Source organism: Homo sapiens, chromosome 16 (genome assembly GCF_000001405.40).
Source record: "Homo sapiens chromosome 16, GRCh38.p14 Primary Assembly".
NCBI lineage: Eukaryota > Metazoa > Chordata > Mammalia > Primates > Hominidae > Homo > Homo sapiens.
In genome coordinates this window covers 75,298,050-75,318,370 of record NC_000016.10, presented here as the reverse complement: position 1 = coordinate 75,318,370, position 20,321 = coordinate 75,298,050, and the positions used below count along the sequence as shown (strand labels likewise).

The following is a 20,321-nucleotide window of genomic DNA, read 5'->3' as shown; positions in this document are numbered from 1 at the left end:
AGCCAAACAACACACCACTGAGGCATATTGATCTTCTGCCCAGTGCTTTGTCCTGTTGACTTAGTTGGCGAGATGTGCTATTTGCCTGGCCATGTTGTCCCTGATGGGAACGATCAGGGGAATGTTCATGAGAGTGTGTGGCTCCAGCCGTCAGACCAGCACAGACCAGTCACAGTCACAGCAGAGCACAGTTCTCCTTGAGAAGGGTCATTGACCTTTTTCTTTTTTTTGTGATACGGAGTCTCACTCTGTCACCCAGGCTGGAGTGCAGTGGCGCGCTGGAGTGCAGTGGCGCGATCTCGGCACACTGCAACCTCTGCCTCCCAAGTTCAAGCAATTCTCCTGCCTCATCCTCCTGAGTAGCTGGGATTACAGGTATGTACCACCATGCTTGGCCAATTTTTTGTATTTTTTTAGTAGAGATGGGGGGTGGGGTCTCACCATGTTGGCCAGACTGGTCTCGAACTCCTGACGTTAGGTAATCTACCCACCTCAGCCTCCCAAAGTGCTGGGATTACAGGGGTGAGCTACCACACCTGGCCAGGTCATTGACTTTTAATGCCAGATGCTGACTCTGCCTCAGCTTTTCTTGGCCTCTGCGGCTGTGACTGGTGGGAGGCCATATGGAACCAGTATCTGGAAAATAAGCTGTGTCTTCCTCTGTTGAGCTCCCAGGGTTCTGCATAAAGTTGTCATTATGGTCTTTGTTAGAAGCTGTATTTAATAATTCCTTTAAAATTGTGTCTCAGAAATGTAAATTGTCTGTTTGTATTGGTCAATAAATTATTCTCCCCAGCTGTGTCTAATCATACAAATTAAAGCAACAGCAGTTCGCACCTCAGGGGCAAAGCATCTCCTCCCCAGGCAGAATCTAGTTTCCATTACACTCAACATTTCCTCCTTGGAGAGCCCCCTGGCCTTCTTTACTCCCACACTGCTGTGAAATGGTGGCGTGTCCTTCTCTGCTTTGCCAGGACTCCCCCACCATGGGAGTGGTTCAAAGAAGGAAATTGCTAGAGCAGAGGCGGGAAGGGCTGCAGCATTATCTCTTTCCCAGGGAGGAGATGAAACCACATTTGAGTGGACAAAGGGGAAGGGAAATTCAGAAGTATCATTTCCTTAGAGGTCTGGCGGCAGGTCAGAAGAGGTTTTCTTTGCTGCTGACTTCGTGTCATTTAACCCTCATGCGTACCAGGCACCAGGCCTTGAGAAGTCTCCACTCATCTAGGCGAGGGCCTCCATGTTGGCCAGAGAGGCCTCTGCCCTCGCCACTTGCCTGTCCAATCTAGGACTTTGCTGAAGATCCCATAGCCTTTTGCCTTTTCTCTAGTTAACTGCTCTTTTACTTTTTATTTTTATTTTTATTTATTTATTTATTATCTTTTTTTGAGACGGAGTTTTCACTCTTGTCGCCCAGGCTGGAGTGCAGTGGTGCGATCTCGCCTCACCACAACCTCTGCCTCCCGGGTTCAAGCGATTCTCCTGCTGAGGCAGTAGGAGTAGCCTCCCGAGTAGCTGGGATTACAGGCATGCGCCTCCACGCCCGGCTAATTTTATATTTTTATTAGAGATGGGGTTTCTCTGTGTTGGTCAGGCTGGTCTCGAACTCCTGACCTCAGGTGATCCGCCCGCCTTGGCCTCCCAAAGTGCTAGGATTACAGGCGTGAGCCACCGCGCCCGGCCTCTTTTACTTTTTAAAGACTTTTTTACAGCTAGAGCTTTACTCTCCTTTGGGGATTTCCTGAATATTTGTATTTTTGTCCTTCAAATAGGACTTTTTTTTTTTTTTTTTTTTTTTTTTAGACAGGGTCTCATCCTGTCAACCCAGGCTGGAGTGCAGTGGCACGATAACAGCTTACTACAGTCTTGAACTCCTAGGCGTAAGCGATCCTCCCTCCCTGGCCTCCCAAAGTGCTTGAATTATAGGCGTGAGCCAGCACACTGCCTGGCCTTTCAAATAGGATTCTTTACTATTAATTCACCCTAGTCTGTCTGTAGACGTAGCCGAAGACGTTATAGAGTGAGGCATAAGAAATAAGAAGCGGTCAACTTTCTGAACTTCCTGAGAGTATTATCTCACATATTATACATGAATTACAAATTAATTACAGAGGGAAAATGTACCTTTACAAGTGAGAGTTCTGGCCGTCACAACCTTACCCAAGGGATCACGCTTGGCATCGCCAGGATGGGCTGACCTGACACTAGTGCCTCTGATGATGGTGCAGTAAGAAGTGCCCAACCTCATCTATTTAGCATCCTCAGCAAAAATATTTAACCTGAATCTAGTCATAGGAAACAGATAAATCCAATGAGCAACATTCTATAGGTCAACCAGACTGGACTCTTAAAAATTAACAAGACACTGAAGACCAAAAATCAAAACAACAAAACCAAAGGCAAGAGACTGCTAGATTACAAGATTAAAGGAGACTAAAGAAACTTTGAAATGTGATGCATTTTGAGAGAGAATGGGGAGCAACTAACGAGGCCATTTTGGGAGGTGTGTTGAAGGAAATTTGAACCTGGACTTTATATTGGACTGTATATTGTGTCATTATATCAATGTTAAATTTCTTGGGTGTATGTTGGAAAGTGTCCTTGGGAGATACATGCTAAAGGTATGTAGAGGTGAAATGATGCAATGGCTCCACACGGCCACAAAAAAGTAAATCTATATATAGAAAGAAAAGTTATATGTGGCAAAATGTTAACAATTGAATCTAAGTGAAGCGTATTTAGATAAATAGTGGTTCTGTTTTCAACTTTTCTTTCAGTTTCACATTTTTCAAACTATAAAGTTGGGGGGATTTTTGCACCAGACCATATTGGAATTCCTCACCAGACCATACTGGAATTCTTGTACATAACCCTTCTGAGTTACCACCTTAAGGTTACAAAAACAAAGAAGAAAAAGCAAGAGTCAGCCTCAAGGTTCATTAATGCCAGCGCCCCATTTCTCGTTATTGAGTATCATCATTATAAATTGCTGTGCTGGGAAACCCTTCTCTTTTTTTTTTTTTTTTTTTTTTTTTTTTTGAGATAGGGTCTCACTCTGTCACCCAGGCTGGTGTGTAGTGGCATGATCTCTGCTCACGGCAACCTCCGCCTCCCGTTCTCAAGCAAACCTCCCACCTCAGCCCCCAAGTAGCTGGGACTACAGGCACACACCGTCACACCCGGCAAATTTTTTGTAGAGACGGGGTTTTGCCATGTCGCCCAGGCTGAAGCCTTTCTTTAGGTTGGCCAAATGATGGCCCAATTATGTGATGCTTTTGTGAATCCAGGAAACACATTTTTCCTTTAATAATATTTTCCTGGCCAGGTATGGTGGCTCACACCTGTAATCTCTGCACTTTGGGAGGCTGAGGCAGGCGGATCACTTGAGGTCAGGAGATCAAGACCAACCTGGCCAACATGGTGAAACCCCATCTCTACTAAAAATACAAAAGTTAGCCAGGTGTGGTGGCAGGTGCCGGTAATCCCAGCTATGTGGGAGGCTGAGACAGGAGAATTGCTTGAATCCAGGAGGCAGCGTTGGCAGTGACCTGAGATCGCGCCACTGCACTCCAGCCTGGGTGACAGAGCGAGACTTGGTCTCAAAAATAAATTTATAAAATAAAAATATTGTCCTTCATTTCCTTTTATTTTTCTGAATGATGAAAGATAAATTGAGCATATAAATCCAGTACCTAGAGAAAGAGTAGTCATTTATCATTTTTCAAAACAGCTTTATTTAGGTATAATTCCCATGCCAGTCTATAATTAAATGGCTTTTAGTATATTTGCAGAATTGTGCATCACTACAACTTAGGACATATTCATTACTCCAAAAAGAAACCCCACACCGTTTATCTGTCATTAGCTGTCAGCAACTACCACCCCCAACTCCTATCCCCATTTCTCCTTGACTCTGGCAACCCTTAATCTACTTTCTGTCTGCGTAGGTTTGTCTATTCTGGACATTTCATATCAATGGAATCATACAATATATGGTCCTTTGTTCCTGGCTTCTCTCGCTTAACGTAATGTTTTCACGGTCCATCCATGTTGTAGCAGGTATTGGTACTTCCATGTATTGGTATTCCTTTTTGTAGCCCATTAAGTAACTTATCTTACTGCCATTGAAGGTAGTTATTCACTTCCTTTTCTTTCTGTTCAAATAGACAAATATAACAATGAACAAGGCCAGGTGCGATGGCTCACGCCTGTAATCTCTGCACTTTGGGAGGCTGAGGCGGGAGGATCACCTGAGGTCGGGAGTTCGAGACCAGACTGGCCAACATGGCGAAACCCCATGTCTATTAAAAATGCAAAAATTAGCCAGGCATGGTAGCGGTCACCTGTAACCCCAGCTACTCGGGAGGCTGAGGCAGAAGAACTGCTTGAACCCCGGCGGCGGAGGTTGCGGTGAGCCAAGATTGCACCACTGCACTGTAGCTTGGGCAACAGAGCAAGGCTCCGTCTAAAAAAAAACAAAAAACAGTGAACACTGAACACTCACTCATTTGACTCTATAAGAAATCTCATTTGCTTTAGTTAGGGGCAGCAACTCAGACTTTCAACTTGAGATTCTCTATGGAATTTCTTTTATGTAATTCAAGGGAATACATGCAAAGAGAGAAGACAGCTTGATGATATTTTGCTTTCTGAAGAACTAAGGCATGTTTCACCATATAACATCCCTCAGAAGCAAGAGTGGAATGAACATTCGCACACCTTAAAACTCACATGCTGGCCAGGCGTGGAGGGAGGCTCATGCCTATAATCCCAGCACTATGGGAGACCCAGGCGGGCAGATCACTTGAGGCCAGGCCTCATGGCGACCAGCCTGGCCAACATGGCAAAACCCTATCACTACTAAAAATACATAAATTAGCTGGGTGTGGTGGTGGGCGCCTGTAATCCCAGCTATCAGGAGGCTGAGGCAGGAGAATCACTTGAACCCAGGAAGCAGAGGCTGTAGTGAGCCGAGACCACGCCACTGCACTCCAGCCTGGGTGACAGAGCGAGACCCTGTCAAAAAAACAAAAAAAACTCTCACATGCCTACCTGGTAGCACAAGTTCTTTTACATCTTCCTGCAGCATTTCTCTCTGCATTATATGCACGAACCAAGCACCACAGATGTTTTACGTGCACCAAGGAAGGGTGTGGAAGAGGATCTGCACTTTCCTAACACTTATCAAACGTAGAGCTTCTCTGAAAGGTCTGAAGTAAGCAGAGTAATAAACACAAACAACACGTTACTCTTTGTGGCAAGAGACACAAAGCCACTGAGTTGGCTGGTTGCAGTGGAACAATAGACCAGTAAAGGACTGTTATTCACAGAGAAGAATGTTAGCTTTCTCTTGGTGCTAGTACTGAGACTGCCCAGCAGGTCAGTTAGCTTGTCCCAGAGAAAAAGTCCATTTCACTGTCACTTCAGAGCCCCTATACCCATCTGACATTCTCAGAATGAATGTCCTTGATTATAATAGAGACCAGGAGTCTGTGCATTTAGAGTACCTCTACTGCTTTTGGGAAAACAGTCCATGTCTTAGTAATTACAAATGGATGGTGGTGTCTTATATAGGAAGAGCTCTTCATTTAAATAGCACCAAAGTCAGCTAAAATTTCTTAGTTCTCCCTGACAGTCAGCTGAGAGGCCAGAACAGGGCAAAACACACCTCTGCTCAACAACACATGGAAGAAAGGGTTGGCAAGGGCTTTCTGTAATATGTTTCTGGAGATACTAGAATTCAGGACTTCTATCACTAAAATAGGTATGTTTTAGACACACGTTATAAAGATGTAGAGCAGCTGAAATCAGATCAGACAAATGTAAGTGCCCTTCATTATTGGCTTAGCAAAGAACAATAGAACTGAGGAATAAATCATTTTCTATTTGTATAAAAAAAAGGTAAAGCTGTTGCTACTTGCCAGCTTTTCTTTTTGCCTTTTGCTGATAGATGGCACTTTTTTTGCTGGCACTGTTATCAACTTTATTAATAGATTTAAAAGTACTGACAATTTTTCAAGCCACAAAAGGTTTAAAAATCTTTGGAACTTCTTGTCATACTTCTGGTTTTCTGCTTTCCTGAGGCCGTTGTCCCATAGAGTACTGTCAATACAGTGTTGAGAAGTGAATGGGAGTTAAACTAGCTCCCTAATATGCCATCAGTGGCTTCCAGTCCATTTCCTTGAGGGGTCTAATCTTGGGCTTTGGGGAGATTACTTAGAGATTTATACAGGTGAGTAGTGAAATTTGCCCAGGGATTTGAGTTGTACTTTTTAGCCTTACGGATTTTAGCTAACTCCAGAGAAAATGCGAAAGAGAAACGTTGGTTCAAGACAGACAGCCCTCAACGAAGAATTATCTTCATAAGCTTGCTTTCATCCTGTTTCTCAGAGAGTTCCAGGCCAGTGTCAGACCTTCCGTGGCTCTGGACAATATTAATAGTTCATGAATGAGCTACAAAAATTCCTGATGGATGCAATTGTATGAGCCTATAGTCCCGGCTACTTAGGAAGCTGAGGCAGGAGGATTGCTTGAGCCCAGGAGTTCGGGGCCAGTCTGGGCAACATAGCAAGACTCTTTCTTGAAAAAAAAAAAAAAAAATTGTAAAGGTCCATTCCTACATTGTAAGCAGATGACAAATACTAAGGAAACTGCATATCTCTGCCAAAGAATTTTTGTTCCAAATAAGTTGCATTTTAGTGATTATGCAGGCTATTAGATGGAAGGCATAGACTTAATCCAGCCTTCACGTGTTGAAGTTTGGATTAAAGATCAGTGGTGCTTCTGTACACATGTTAACCCTATCCTTGCTGGTCCACTTTTGGTACTGGTCTGTCAGTTCAAGTGTAGTGTTGAATATTTTGTTATGAGAAAAAGTGTTTGGGTAAGTCCATTGTCAAATAATGAGGATTTAGTACATTAAAAATGTAGTAGATTGGGCATAGTGGCTCACACCTGTAATCCCAGCACTTTGAGAGGCCAAAGTGGGATGATTGAGGCCAGGAGTTCGAGACCAGCCTGGGCAAAATAGCAAGATCCCTGTCTGTACAAAGACGTTTTTTAAATTATCTGGGTTTGGTGACATATGTCTATAGTCCCAGCTACTTGGACTTAAATCTAGCACCAAGCAAGGTGGAAAAGACAGTAGTCTGGGCATCAAAAGCACTGAGTACTAACCCCAAGTCTCCTGCTATAAACTTGGGCAGGTTTCTTAACCTTTTGGAGTTTAGTTGACTGATCTATAAAATAAGGAGGTTGGACTAAACATCCCTTCAGCTCTTCTTTTGTGCCCTCATAATATGTGGTTACAGTTTGCCTGTATGTTGATCTGTCCTCCACTAGATTTTTGTTTTGAAGCCGAAAATTAAGCTTTGTATATTTTTATATCCCCATTCTGAGCACAGTGTCTGGTAGAGAGTAAGTTCTCAGTAATCTCTGTTGAATGAATGCAATGAATGAATGACTCTGAATTCCTTTCCAAAGCTAAAATTCTATTCTGTGAAACAGCTGGGTACCTGGGGATGATTTTAAAGATCTCCGGGAAAGATCTTCTACCATCCTTCACAAACAGTTGGTAAGCCCTGTCAGCCTTTCCACTTGGCAAGTTACTCTCCCAGCTCCTTTCCAGTACCTCTTTTAAACAAACAGCAGGATCCCGGGCATTGCTGAGGGTGGTCAGATAGAACAGTGCTCTTGCTACAAAATAAATCGGTTGGACAAATCCAAGTCAATGCTGGTGGACATGGAACAAAGTAAACAAGTTACCATAATATCTCTGTGACAGACTCAACAGGATGAAGTTTATTGTTTAGTTACAATGACATTTTTGTTAAAATTACATTTCTTTTGCTAAAGAGAAGCAGAATAAGTTCTAGAAAATTATCATTATAAACTTTGAACCTAGAAAAGAAAAAGATGACTTGTCATTTTACATTCTGTGTCTCTTTTACTTTTCTGAGTTTCTTAATCAAGGTCTTGGTTGGTGTCTGGTGTTATGATAGGTCTTGGTTTGGCATGGTGGGAAGGGAGTTGATAATTGCTGATTGATGGATAACTGAACAAAATATGCAAGAAAGATAAGCTTGGAAAATAAGTGTCTCTTTCACCAGTATGAGCTGCACTCAGCCACTCTCTCTTATGGCATGGAAGCTGGCTGGTGAGAGCAAAGTCCACACTCCTTGAACAGTATTAGTCTTTACATCAAATTTATGGTAGTAAGGTCAACAAAGTCATGTGATGTTCAGGAGGAGGTGGTTGCAATGTCATTGTGACATTGGAAACATCTTGGTAATAACATTCCAGAATGCCTCAGCGTAACATTTGGGATGTAATCTGGGTGAGCAAGTGCATGGTGCATTTCTTTGAACTTTGACTTGCAACAGGTGGGTGAGGAGTCTCTTGACTCAATGAAGTACTGTTGTCTGGAGAGTGGTCTGTTAAAGCAGACTTTCTGGCAGTACCTTGCCCTATGGCTTAGGATAAAGAACAAAGAAACCAGTGGTTCTGTTGGTCTGGAACTGGATTGGTTTTTTTTTTTTTTTTTTTTTTTTTTGAGATGGAGTCTCACTCTGTCACCCAGGCTGGAGTGCAGTGGCATGATCTTGGCTCACTGCAAGCTCCGCCTCCTGGGTTCACGCCATTCTCCTGCCTCAGCCTCCCAAGTAACTGGGACTACAGGCGCCTGCCACCACGCCCGGCTAATTTTTTGTATTTTTAGTAGAGACGGGGTTTCACCGTGTTAGGCAGGATGGTCTCGATCTCCTGACCTTGTGATCCGCCCGCCTCGGCTTCCCAAAGTGCTGGGATTACAGGCATGAGCCACAGCGCCCGGTTGGATTGGTTCTTGATGAAAACAAATCTCCAAGGGAATTCTGACTTCCCCATTCTACAGTTTTCCAATATACACAGCTGCCAGATGCCTGGAGAGCCAGTGCTGATTTGTCCCCTGCTAGCCATAGTTCTCGGAGGTGCGTGGCTGAAGTAGGCTTTTCTGTGTTCTTTCTCAGAATAGGGTCAGCGCCCCCTGCCCAGAGACTGATTCTCTCCCGCCTCGGCTTCCTGAAAGCCTGGTTCATGTACCTTTGTGGCAGAGAAAGCGGCAAGGTCACAGTAAATCTGCCTTTCTGAAAGCTGTGCTGAAATGACACCAGGATTAGGACACTGAAACCCCTCTCAGGGTGGGAGAGTGAGTGGGAGGGCTCAGAACCCTGAGGGAGCCCACAAACAGGTTCTAGGAAGAAGCTGCTGGTCTCCTGGTTATCATGAGCCCCCTGTGTGTTCTGGCTGCTGCTATCAGTGTGTCATTCACTTTGATTTAGCCTCAAATAAAAGACAGATTATTTTGCTTTAGAGACTATCACATTAGGACATCTTACACCTTGTTAATGACCCAGTGAAAGGAGAGTTGGAAGCCTTCCCCAAAAGCATAATAGCACAGGTGACATTTTACTGATGTTTAATGGTGAGCAAGGCAAAGGGGTATTATGGTTTTTTTCCTTTTCTGGAAACCTCACTGCTGTGCATCAAAAAATCAAGTTTCTCATAGACTTCTCAAAGTAATTCGTCAATAAGATGGCCTCACCCAGGAATACCACTGGAGCTGTAGGCTGAAGGGGAGAGGTGGCGTACATAGCTTGTGGTGCTGCCCAAATTAAATGGGGAACCTTGGGCTGTTGAGAGCTGATGGGAGAATAAAAGTGAATTGTTCCCCTTAAAATCTCCAGTGTAGAAGCGCTCTAAAGAATACTTAGTTCTGCGAATATCTGATTCTCTTCCATGAATTGGTTCTGTAATCCAGGTGACGTTGTTGACTTAATTGAGTGCTCACTGTTCACAGAACTCTATCAATGGGTAGAGAGGTTTGGAGACACAGGAACTTAAATAGCCACAGAAAGATAAAGATTACACGAGGAAAATAATTTTTCTCCTAAAATCCTTAGTTAGAGTCCCCTCAAAGCAGAACATAAGACAAGGATTTTGAGTGCAGGGAGTTTATTTGGGAAGTGATCCCAGGAAGCAGGTGTGAGTGGTGGAAAGAATGAGACAAGGAAGGAGGAAAAGTCAATATAAGAGTACAATTCCAAGGCCACGAGGGCTTGATGCCACCAGAACTTCTGAGAAGCATTCCACCTCCTATAGCTACCTTGTGAGGGTAGGAGGCTGGCCGTTTAACCACCAGCTTTTGTGTTCCTTCAGGCTAGCCCCAATGGCTTGAGCTCCACCACCTGTCCAGGCAGTACTTGTGGCATGCAGGCAGGCTCAGAGGAGACCCTGCAGCCAGAAATGGAAAGTCCTCATGCGTATGCTTTTGGTGGGGTGTTGTCAACAGTGAGTCTGCACTTGCCCAGAACCATCTAGTGCAGCTGCAGCTGAAATAAGAGTTCACAAGCATCTAAAGAAAAGATCAGTGTTCCCATATGAAAAGAACTGGTATGATAGAAATACCACCAGGGACACCTAATCTAGAGGTTAGGGAAGGCTTCCTGGAGGAAGTGGTTTTAAAGCTGAGATAAGGCTTAATATGGTGGCTTGTGCCTATAATCCCAGTACTTCGGGAGGCCAAGGCAGGAGGATTGCTTGAGTCCAAGAGTTTGATACCAGCCTTGGGCAACATAGCAAGACCCTGTCTCTACAAAACATAAAAAAGATAGTTGAACGTGGTGGCACACACCTGTAGTCTCTGCACCTCAGGAGACTGAGGTGGGAGGATCACTTGACCCAGGGAGGTTGAGGCTGTAGTAAGCTGTGGTTTCACTGGTGTACTCTAGCCTGGGTAACAGAGTGAGAACCTGTCTCTAAAAAAGTAAATACATAAAAATTTATTTTAATTATTATGTTTTAAAAAGGGGTCAGTGGGCCTGGGCGCAGTGGCTCACACCTGTAATCCCAGCACTTTGGGGGGCCGAGGTGGGCAGATCACCCGAGGTCAGGAGTTTGAGACCAGCCTGCCCAACATGGCAAAACCCCGTCTCTACTAAAAATACAAAAAATTAGCCAGGTGTGGTGGCAGGCGCCTGTAATCCCAGCTACTTGGGAGGCTGAGACAGGAGAATCGCTTGAACCCGGGAGGCGGAGGTTGCAGTGAGCCGAGATCACGCATCTGCACTCCAGCCTGGGCAACAAGAGAGAAACTCCGTCTCAAAAAATAAAAATAAATAAAAATAAAAAGGGGTCAGTGAAGAGACATTTAAGCAGAAAGACATGCTAAGCTTTGTGTTTTGGAAAATTCAGTCTAATTACAGCATGTCACTAGATACCAGGATAGGGCCACTGAGTGAGGATGGGGAAAAACAGGTCAGGGAGACCAGTAAAGAGGCTGTTCAATTATCCAGGTGATATAAGAATGAGAATTCGGGCAGTAGCAGTAAGGAAGATGAGAAGGAAAAAGATTTGAGACACAGTAAGTTTCCATATCCCCACTCATGCTCCGTTCCTGGTAAAATGGTGAAAAAGAAAGTGTGTGTGTGTGCGTGTGTGTGTGTGTGTGTGTGTGTGATCACGCGCACATATGACATTGTAGGGGTTGAGTTGTCTGGAAAACAGTGCTTAGAAGATATGAATTGAAAGCTCATAAAGAGCTATTTGGAGTTCTCTTAAGCAAACTGGGAAGTAAAGTAACTAATGAGAAAATCTCTCAAGTCACTTCTCATCTGGAGGCGAGATAGCACAGTGCACCACCCTGAGAGTTGGGAGAGATCTTCCTTTGTCCCGGATCTGCATTGTCTATTGTTTTGACCCTTGTTTTATCATTTAACCTCTCTGAACTTTGTTTATTTGTCCAACTTAATACAAGGATGATGAAGCTTGCCCAGCCCATTCTGAGTTGATCTTAAGCTCAGCATGTACTGGGGTGTGACCCAAACAGGGAAGTTGACATCCTCTCTACTAAAGTTAATAGAATGAGAATGTTCAGGGTCATTGTTCAGTCCCAGCAGTCTGGTGTTCAGTGTGGACGTTGGCCTGTTGGCTCACACCAGGCAGAGGGGGTGAGTAGTCGTTCACGCTGCTTTGCGGCAGGGACGTGGGGTTTCAGAATGGGTTAGGGTGATACTAGGTTATTTCAAAGATGATCCCTTCCAACTCTGAGACTGGGTCCTGTGTCACAGGCCTTAGTGAGAGTTAGATGAGATCATGGCTACAAAAGCACTTGGAGAACAAACATTCTAGACAAGTAAAGGTATTATTATCAGTAGACCATGTGACATTAGCTCATAGTTTTTAAATGTTTAACTTTCTTGCATATCCCCGTGAGGCGGAAAATAACTTCCAAGTTCCTACATGCTGGTAGATGATTTCGTTTCATTTCATAAAGAGACCAAACCTTTCCTCATACCATCTTAACTGCATTTTGCTTTTCTTATTTTATTTCATATGTTTAACAATGACTGGAAACATTTGACCTGCCAAGACTTGAATTTGGGCATCTGGGGTTTCTCCCACTGTCCATGATAGCATCACCAGCAAGTGGAGCACAGGCTGTACATTCCCCGTGTGAGCTTTCGGAGTGAGGAATGTTCTCCACCTCCTGGAAAAAACAGGGCCCAACTCACAGGAGTTAAAAGGAAACTGATTTTAGAACCCTCTTACAGTACTGTGACTTTTCACTCATCAGTGTTGGGAACTGGTTCTCTTTCTCTTAAAAGAACCCCCTGGGGCTTTAAGCTTAAACGATGACAGTGACTCAGAGTGGCTCATGCTTATTGCACCTTGACGCTGTGCCAAGTGCTGTTTTAGCCCTTTACGTGTAAGATACACCACAGCCTGTGAGTAAGCATTTGCTTTGTAGATTAGGAAACCAAGGAACATGCAGTAAATAACTGGCCTAGAGTCACACAGTTAAGCTGGAAGTTGGACCTTGGCATGTGACTCCAAAGCCCTGCCTGAAGCGCTGCTCCTCCCCTCCTTGCAAGCAGAGACCTGCCACACAGAGCCCACAGAGGTCTGAAGAAGGCAGGATTTCCTGTTCGTAGCTCAGGAGAGCAGACAGTGGTGTTAAGCAGGAAAAGCACATTAGAATTCCAGTTTACTTACAGTGCTCTCCACACCAGGAAGGAAATGCCCCAAATATGAACATGGCTTCCACTAAGATAAATGGCCCCAATCTAGGGGATTCCCATTTGCATCAGAAAAACTGTTAATATAGAGATCAGAGTTTTTACCTGCTACATCTTTCATATTTTCTTTCCTTAGGTTAAAAAGATCAAGTGGCATGAGCAGCCTTTTGGGGAAAATTGGTGCCAAGAAGCAGAAAATGAGCACCCTTGAGAAGTCCAAACTGGACTGGGAGAGCTTCAAGGAGGAAGAGGGGATTGGTGAAGAACTGGCCATCCATAATCGAGGGAAAGAGGGGTAAGAAGGAGTAGGTTTTATGCCTTGGAAAATCCTCAGAACCCTGAAATCAAATGATTTATTGGAGACAAACTGCCCACTGTAAGCAAGCAGGAGCTTTTCATGATGGAACTAAAAATGTGAGCACTTTGGTTTGTCAGTAAGTCTCTGTTCCAGTGTGGGGCAGGGCCTGTCACTGGGAAGGCCACTGCGGGTGGAGGGAAGGCGGGGCATGTGAGGAGTACTCTCAGGGGCCAGTCACATCTGCCAAGCTGAATTTGCTGAATTACAGCTCCAGTGAACTGTAAGTTGCCTAGTGGTTGGATCTGGCCTGTGGTAGCAGCCTTGGCCTTATCTGAATCATTTGTCCTTCTGAGAAACCAAACTAGTTCAGATCCGTCAAAAACTGAGCCAATGGAATGCCTAGATGTTGCATTATTGTGAATTTTTTTTTGTCTGTGTCATTATGGCCTGGGGTGGGGCTTTACCCTTGGCTATAGCCTGTGTGATAGGCCAGGCCCTCAGACAGCACCCCAGGCCATCACTTGCACCTCTTTCTCTTCGCTGTGGAATACAAAGAGAATGTTCATAACCTACGTATTCAGTTGTAAAAAGGGTCCTTTCCTTGTCATATTTGTCTTACTGGTGATTAAACAAAAAATCAAGAAAGAAATGGTGGCCAGGCATGGTGGTTCACACCTGTAATCTTGGCACTTTCGGAGGCCGAGGCGGGCAGATCACTTGAGGTCAGGATTTCGAGACCAGCCTAGCCAACCTGGCAAAACCCCATCCTACTAAAAATATAAGAATTAGCCAGGCATAGTGGTGCACACTTGTAATCCCAGCTACTTGGGAGGCTGGGGCAGGAGGATCACTTGAACCCACTAGGTGGAGGTTGCAGTGAGCCAAGACTGAACCACTGCACTCCAGCCTGGGTGACAGAGCAAGACTGTGTATCAAGAAAGAAAGAGAGAGAGAGAGAGAAAGGAAAAGAAAAGAAAGAAAAGGTGTTCATAAGTACTTACGGACCTCAGAAGGCACTAAGGAAGTTACCACAGAAGTGGCTTCATGGCTCAAAATCAACAGTCCTCACCCCTAGCCATGAAAGGAAATGTTGAGTGTCCCACCAGAGAGCCCTGGCTGCTCGGCAGCTCTGCTTCTTACCAGTAAGCTCTTCTCCACCAGCATACTGGACACCTCTGAGGCTCAGCTCCTTTACCAATAAAACTGGGATAACGATACCATCCTCACTATGTGGTTGTGATGATCTCATGAGATAATATATGTATTGCTTACGTATATGTAATATACATAAAGCACTTTACAGAACACCTGTCACATAAAGGCTTGCGTTAAGTCGAAGTCATTCAAGTTTTTTTTAAGAGACAGGGTCTCACTATGTTGCCCAGGCTGGTCTCAAACTTTTGGGCTCAAACGATCCTCCTGCCTCGGCCTCCTATGTAGCTAGGACTACAGGGGCACACCCCTGCACCCAGCTCATTCAGTTTATTAATGATAGACAAAGGATTTATTGGGGGGGGTCATATTTCTAAATTAGGCTTCAAGATTATCTAAATGAACCTGGAAGCTGACCAGTATGGTTTTTTTTTCCCTAAACATACATACATACATACATACATACATTTATTTATTTATTTATTTATTTATTTATTTATTTAGAGATGGAGTCTCACCCTGTCACCCAGGCTGGAGTGCAATGGCGTGATCTTGGGTCACTGCAACCTCTGCCTGCCGGGTTCAAGCGATTCTCCTGCCTCAGCCTCCCAAGTAGCTGGGATTACAGGCGCGCGCCTACACGCCCAGCTAATTTTTGTATTTTTAGTAGAGACGGGGTTTCACCATGTTGGGCAGGCTGGAATGCAATGGCGTGATCTTGGGTCACTGCAACCTCTGCCTGCCGGGTTCAAGCGATTCTCCTGCCTCAGCCTCCCAAGTAGCTGGGATTACAGGCGCGCGCCTACACGCCCAGCTAATTTTTGTATTTTTAGTAGAGACGGGATTTCACCATGTTGGGCAGGCTGGTCTCAAACTCCTGACCTCGGGTGATCTGCCCACCCGCCTCGGCCTCCCAAAGTTCTGGGATTACAGGTGTGAGCCACCACGCCCAGCCCTAAAAAAAAACATTTTAAACAGCTTCATGAGCTTGTTTAACTAGCAGACTTCTAGATCAGCCTAAGCTGGAATGCTACAGGACAGGGAGAGGGGGCCAGAGTGATCAGGGGAAGACTCCGGATGAAGTGCAGTGTTGTCTCTTCACGAGTGGTAGCTCTGACATGCGCCCCAAACCTCTCCATTCAGATTCAGCTCCAGTAACTCGCAGCTCTGTCCTGTTCTCCACTCTTGCACAGTGATCTGAGACAGCAGAGGAACTATCAGCGTGTGCTACACATTATTGCTTCTCTGAATATTGATTATATGAGTTGGACAGTGTTCACTCTGCTTGAGTTAATAGAGGTCTTAGAAAAGTAAGGAGTGTTGGGAGCAGTGGCTCACTCCTGCAATCCCAGCACTTTGGGAGGCCAAGGCAGGAGGACTGCTTGAGCTCAGGACCAGCCTGGGCAACATAGCAAGACCTTGCCTCTACTAAAAATCAAAAACATTAGTTGGACGTGGTGCACACCTGTAGTCCCAGTTACTTGGGAGGCTGAAGTGTGAGGATTGCTCACCTCCAGAAGATTGAGGCTGCAGTGAGCTCTGATCGCACCAGTGCATTTCAGCTTGGGTGAAAGAGTGAGACCCTGGCCCAAAAAATAAAAATTTTCAATTAAAAAAAAAGTAAGGAATGGTGCTGTTAAAGATAGGAAGAGTTAACAAAATGTAGACTGGAAGGGAAAACAAGATTAAAAAGAACATCTGCCTAGTGAGAACTTTTCAGGCAGTGGAAAGTCACATAACTGGGTTAGGGAACAACTAACTAATACCATCCTCCTTTATGCTCTGCTTTTCCCTCCTTTGCTTGAGGCTTCTCCCCTCATTCGCCCAGCCAGATTCCACAGATGTGACTGCATGTTTCCAGTGCAGATCTACTGGCTCTGTGCTCTGCCTCAGCCCTTCTCATCTGCCTTCTTAAGTGCCCAGCCCCACATCTCCACTCACTCTCCTTTTCTGGCTCCTGCAGATGGATTAAAGGAGCCCAGCCCCTAGGCCAGTGAAGGGACTGGAGCTCTGTTCTTCACCTTGGCTGAGCATGAGAATCCTCTGGTGACATTTTCCAAAGTTCAGGTGACCACCTCTGTACAGAGCTGCTGAATCAAGAGTCTAGAACAGGTAGGTCACAAATATCTGCATCTTTAAATTTTACTTCTCAGGTGATTCTCATGCACAGCCAAGGTTGAGAATCACTAGACCACAGGTTCAAAATTCTAGAGGCATAAGACAGGTACAGTGACATGCACCCATAGTCCCAGCTACTCACTGCACTCCAGCCTGGACAACAGAGAAAGACCCGGTCTCTTTACCAAAAAAAAAAAAAAAAAAAAAAAAAAAAGACACAACAAAACTCTAATGTTGAGAAAAAAGAAACTTAAAGCAAGGAAATGAAGACACAGACACAGGCTCTGGGCAGGCTGTCACCTGAGTAGGCTGCAGGTTTTTGGGGAAGAATTATACAGGCACCTCCTCGACGCTCCAGCCTTCTACTTCTAACCAAGTCAGAGCCATGCGAGCACTTGTTTTATAATGATTCATTGCCCTTGCCCAGTTCATGCACTCTTCTGTATGTATATTATGTTTTACAATAAACAATTCAAATCTTGGCTCTTCCCATACCATAGGTACTAGCCCCATTTTCTTCATATATAAAGTAGACACATTTTAATATACCTCTCGTGATTATTGTGGGAATTAAATAAGTAGAAGAAAGGCCGGGCATGTTTATCAATAGCAGTCTTCTCCCTTTTCCATGAGTCCTGTGCTCGCTTTTCTTTCTCCCACCTGCCATTACTGACCTCACCATGCCTCAGGCCTTACTGGAAAGCTAGATGCTTTATTCCTTTAAGTTTCTTCCTGATGTGTTCCTGCCCACTCTTCAGGAATATTTTCCACAGCGGTGGGAAGTAGAGCTTGGTGGCATCTCCTCCCAGAATCCCTGGCTGGCTTTTTTTCCTTCCCTGGGCCTTTAAACTTGGGAGGTCCCAGGGCTGGGCCCTGGGCAGTCATCTCTTCCTCCCCAGGAAAGCTCACTAGTTGCAAGTTGCAGCTACCATTCTCTACTGAAGACTCAAAAAAAAAAAGTATCCCCTGCCCTGACCATTCCACTGAGCTCCAGGCTTACATTTCAGCTGTTAGTTGACATCACCTTCTGGTTGTCCAAGACACATCAAACTTAACTTTCAAAACCAAATACTTGCTTTCCCTCCATAAACAGAACCTTCATTCCTCAGAATTCTTAGAAAATGGCACATCACTGTCTACCCTACTGTTAAAAGAAAAACTTGGGGCCAGGCATGGTGGCTCACGCCTGTAATCCCAACACTTTGGGAGGCCGAGGCAGGCAGATAACCTGAGGTCAGGAGTTCGAGACCAGCCTGGCCCACATGGTGAAACCCCATCTCTACTGAAATACAAAAATTAGCCGGGCGTGGTGGTGGGCACCTGTAATCCCAGCTACTTGGGAGGCTGAGGCTAAAGAATTGCTTGAACCCGGGAGGCGGAGGTTGCAATGAGCCAAGATCATGCTGTTGCACTCCAGCCTAGGCAACAAGAGCGAAACTCTGTCTCAAAAAAAGAAAAACTTGGGCTTCATCCTTGATTTCCTGTCTTTCCACCAACATCCCACAAGTCCAATTGATGGTTTCATCACAAAATACTTCAGCTTATTTCTATTCACGCAGCCCCACTACCACCACCCCAGTACAGGCCGCAGACATCTGCTCCGCTCCCTGCTTCTACCTCTGTACCCTTTCATCCATTCTCCACCCAGCAGCGGAAGCAGTAATTTAAAAATACCATTTTTCATCTCTTCCCTGCGGAACACCCCCGGGTAACCCTTCAAATCAGTGTTAACCAGGCCCTCCCCGAGCTGTCCCCTGCCTACCTCTGTCCTCTTCTCCCCCAGCTCGCTGCAGCCCAGCCTCACTGTCTCTGTGTAGTGCTCCTTCCCCAGGAGGCTCTGATTTGTCATCCAGGGCTCTATGCGGATGGCACTCTAGAGTACCCCCACCCAAGGAACCCTCAGTCACACTACCCGGTTTGATTTTCTCCGTGACACTTACTATCATCTGATGCATGTTGTCATGTTTTGTTCATCTATGAACATGTTTTGTTACCTCAGGGTAAGTCCCTGAGGGCAACATCTTGTTCCCTATTCTGTTACCAGCCCAGAGCAGGTGCTGCACCATGGCAGTGTCTAAACACCCATCCCACTAGCTAGCAGATAGTCATGGCTTTTGTTTGGCAGTCTAGTAGGATTCGAATTTTTTTTTTTTTTTGAGATGGAGTCTCGCTCTTTTCCCCAGGCTGGAGTGCAGTGGCGCGATCTCAGCTCACTGCAAACTCCGCCTCCCGGGTTCACGCCATTCTCCTGCCTCAGCCTCCCGAGTAGCTGGGACTACAGGCGCCCGCCACCACACCCGGCTAATTTTTTGTATTTTTTTTTTTTAAGTAGAGATGGGGTTTCACCGTGTTAACCAGGATGGTCTGGATTTCCTGACCACATGATCCACCCACCTCAGCCTCCCAAAGTGCTGGGATTACAGGCGTGAGCCACTGCACCCGGCCAAGTAGGATTAGAATTAATCACCCAGAAAAGAAGAGCATAATACGTCAGAATGATGTTTCCATCCAGGAGTCATTTCAGTCAGCAGAGTTGGTTGAAGTGCCTGTACCGGAGACAGTCATTTGTCCAGCAAAGAATTGCTGCTTTTCCTCTGAGCTCCAGACTCCCAGGGCCCAGTACAGCATTCCAGGATCAGCCCTGCAGTCCTGTAACCCATTACACAGATTTCTTGGTGGTGATCAGCAGCAGCAGCTTGGCATCTAGCAGTGCTAAGGCGGGGGCCAACTGACTTAAGGGGAGGAATCCATGCATAGAGAAGAGAAACACTGGCTAGTCCCAGCTGCTGCTGTCTGATCAATCAATTGAAGGTTACAATTGGAGACCAGGTGTTTTTGTGAGTTGGAGCGGCATGAAGGAGGGACTGAAGAAAATAATTTTCTTTCTCCAAAAAAATATATTTTCATGACTCCTCAGGGTCACTCTTTCAGAACCAGCACAACCTGGAGGTGATAGGGGAAGAAGGCAGTGGAGAAGAAACTTAATTAGAAACTGCCCTTCCAGTCTAACCCTTGAGATGTTTGCAAGTTAAATCCTCCTGAAGGCGGGAGGTGTACTATTGGGCAAACTGCTTCTTTCAACTGCATTTCTCGAGGCAGCAAAGTCTGTATCTCTGTACATCATTCCCAGAGCTTTATTCTAGCCTCGGAGTGCTGCCGTAGCCCATGCTTTGTGGTGTTGGAAAATGCATTTACCCACTTTTTGTCCTGTGTCTGTGCTGCCTTGAATGCTCACTTGGGGAACAGAATGCTGGCTTTGTCTGGGCAGCATGATAGTAATGCAGCTTTGGAGTGTCCTCAGTGACTGCCTCAGGTTTCCCTGCACTTCCATGTGCTCTCCCTCTTCCTGACCAGCGGTGCAGGAGGCATCTCAGGGACTTCAGCCAGGGTGACTACGTCGGGTCAGCACTCCATTGGGCCTTACCACCCTCAAAGGCCCTCTGTCCTCCTGCAGGGTGGGTTCCCAGATACAGGTTGAATATCCCTTATCTGAAATGCTTGGGACTGGAAGTGTTTTAGATTTCAGACCTTTTTCAATTTTGAAATATTTGCTTTTACGTCATCAGCAATCTTGGGGATGGGACCCAAGTTTAAACAAACACAGAATTCATTTGTTTTATATGTACCTTATACACAAAGCCTGGAGGTAATTTTATGCAGTATTTTAAATAATTTTGTGCTTGAAACAAAGTTTGTGTACA

The 20,321-nt window shown here is 45.2% G+C and overlaps 1 protein-coding gene across 2 annotated transcripts in view, besides 3 other annotated features; it reads left to right on the top strand.

The window, feature by feature from the left end:
- The window catches only part of CFDP1 (craniofacial development protein 1), a 139,794-nt gene that overhangs the window by 115,133 nt on the left and 4,340 nt on the right, over window positions 1–20,321 (top strand). Inside the window, exon 7 of one of the 2 annotated variants that reach the window (XR_007064846.1) lies at window positions 13,189–13,245. Coding sequence is in view for 1 of the 2 variants with exons in the window: in NM_006324.3 (NP_006315.1) it covers window positions 13,189–13,347 (159 nt within the window). In the remaining variant the exon portion in view is untranslated. Of the gene's footprint in view, window positions 1–13,188; window positions 13,348–20,321 lie in introns of those variants that run through there. The other variant, NM_006324.3, reaches the window with a different exon arrangement.
- Window positions 1,206–1,255: an enhancer, noted in NCBI's record as "active region_11127". NCBI's record gives its function as "activates an Ori minimal core promoter by ATAC-STARR-seq in GM12878 lymphoblastoid cells {active_cell/tissue: GM12878}" and the evidence as "EXISTENCE:reporter gene assay evidence [ECO:0000049][PMID:35858748]".
- Window positions 10,233–10,733: an enhancer, noted in NCBI's record as "H3K4me1 hESC enhancer chr16:75341536-75342036 (GRCh37/hg19 assembly coordinates)". NCBI's record gives its function as "activates a minimal SCP1, AML or CMV promoter by ChIP-STARR-seq in primed H9 embryonic stem cells {active_cell/tissue: H9 hESC(primed)}" and the evidence as "EXISTENCE:reporter gene assay evidence [ECO:0000049][PMID:30033119]".
- Window positions 12,020–13,219: an enhancer, noted in NCBI's record as "MED14-independent group 3 enhancer chr16:75339050-75340249 (GRCh37/hg19 assembly coordinates)". NCBI's record gives its function as "activates an origin of replication core promoter dependent on BRD2, BRD4, P300/CBP and CDK7 cofactors, and independent of MED14, by STARR-seq in HCT116 cells {active_cell/tissue: HCT116}" and the evidence as "EXISTENCE:reporter gene assay evidence [ECO:0000049][PMID:35650434]".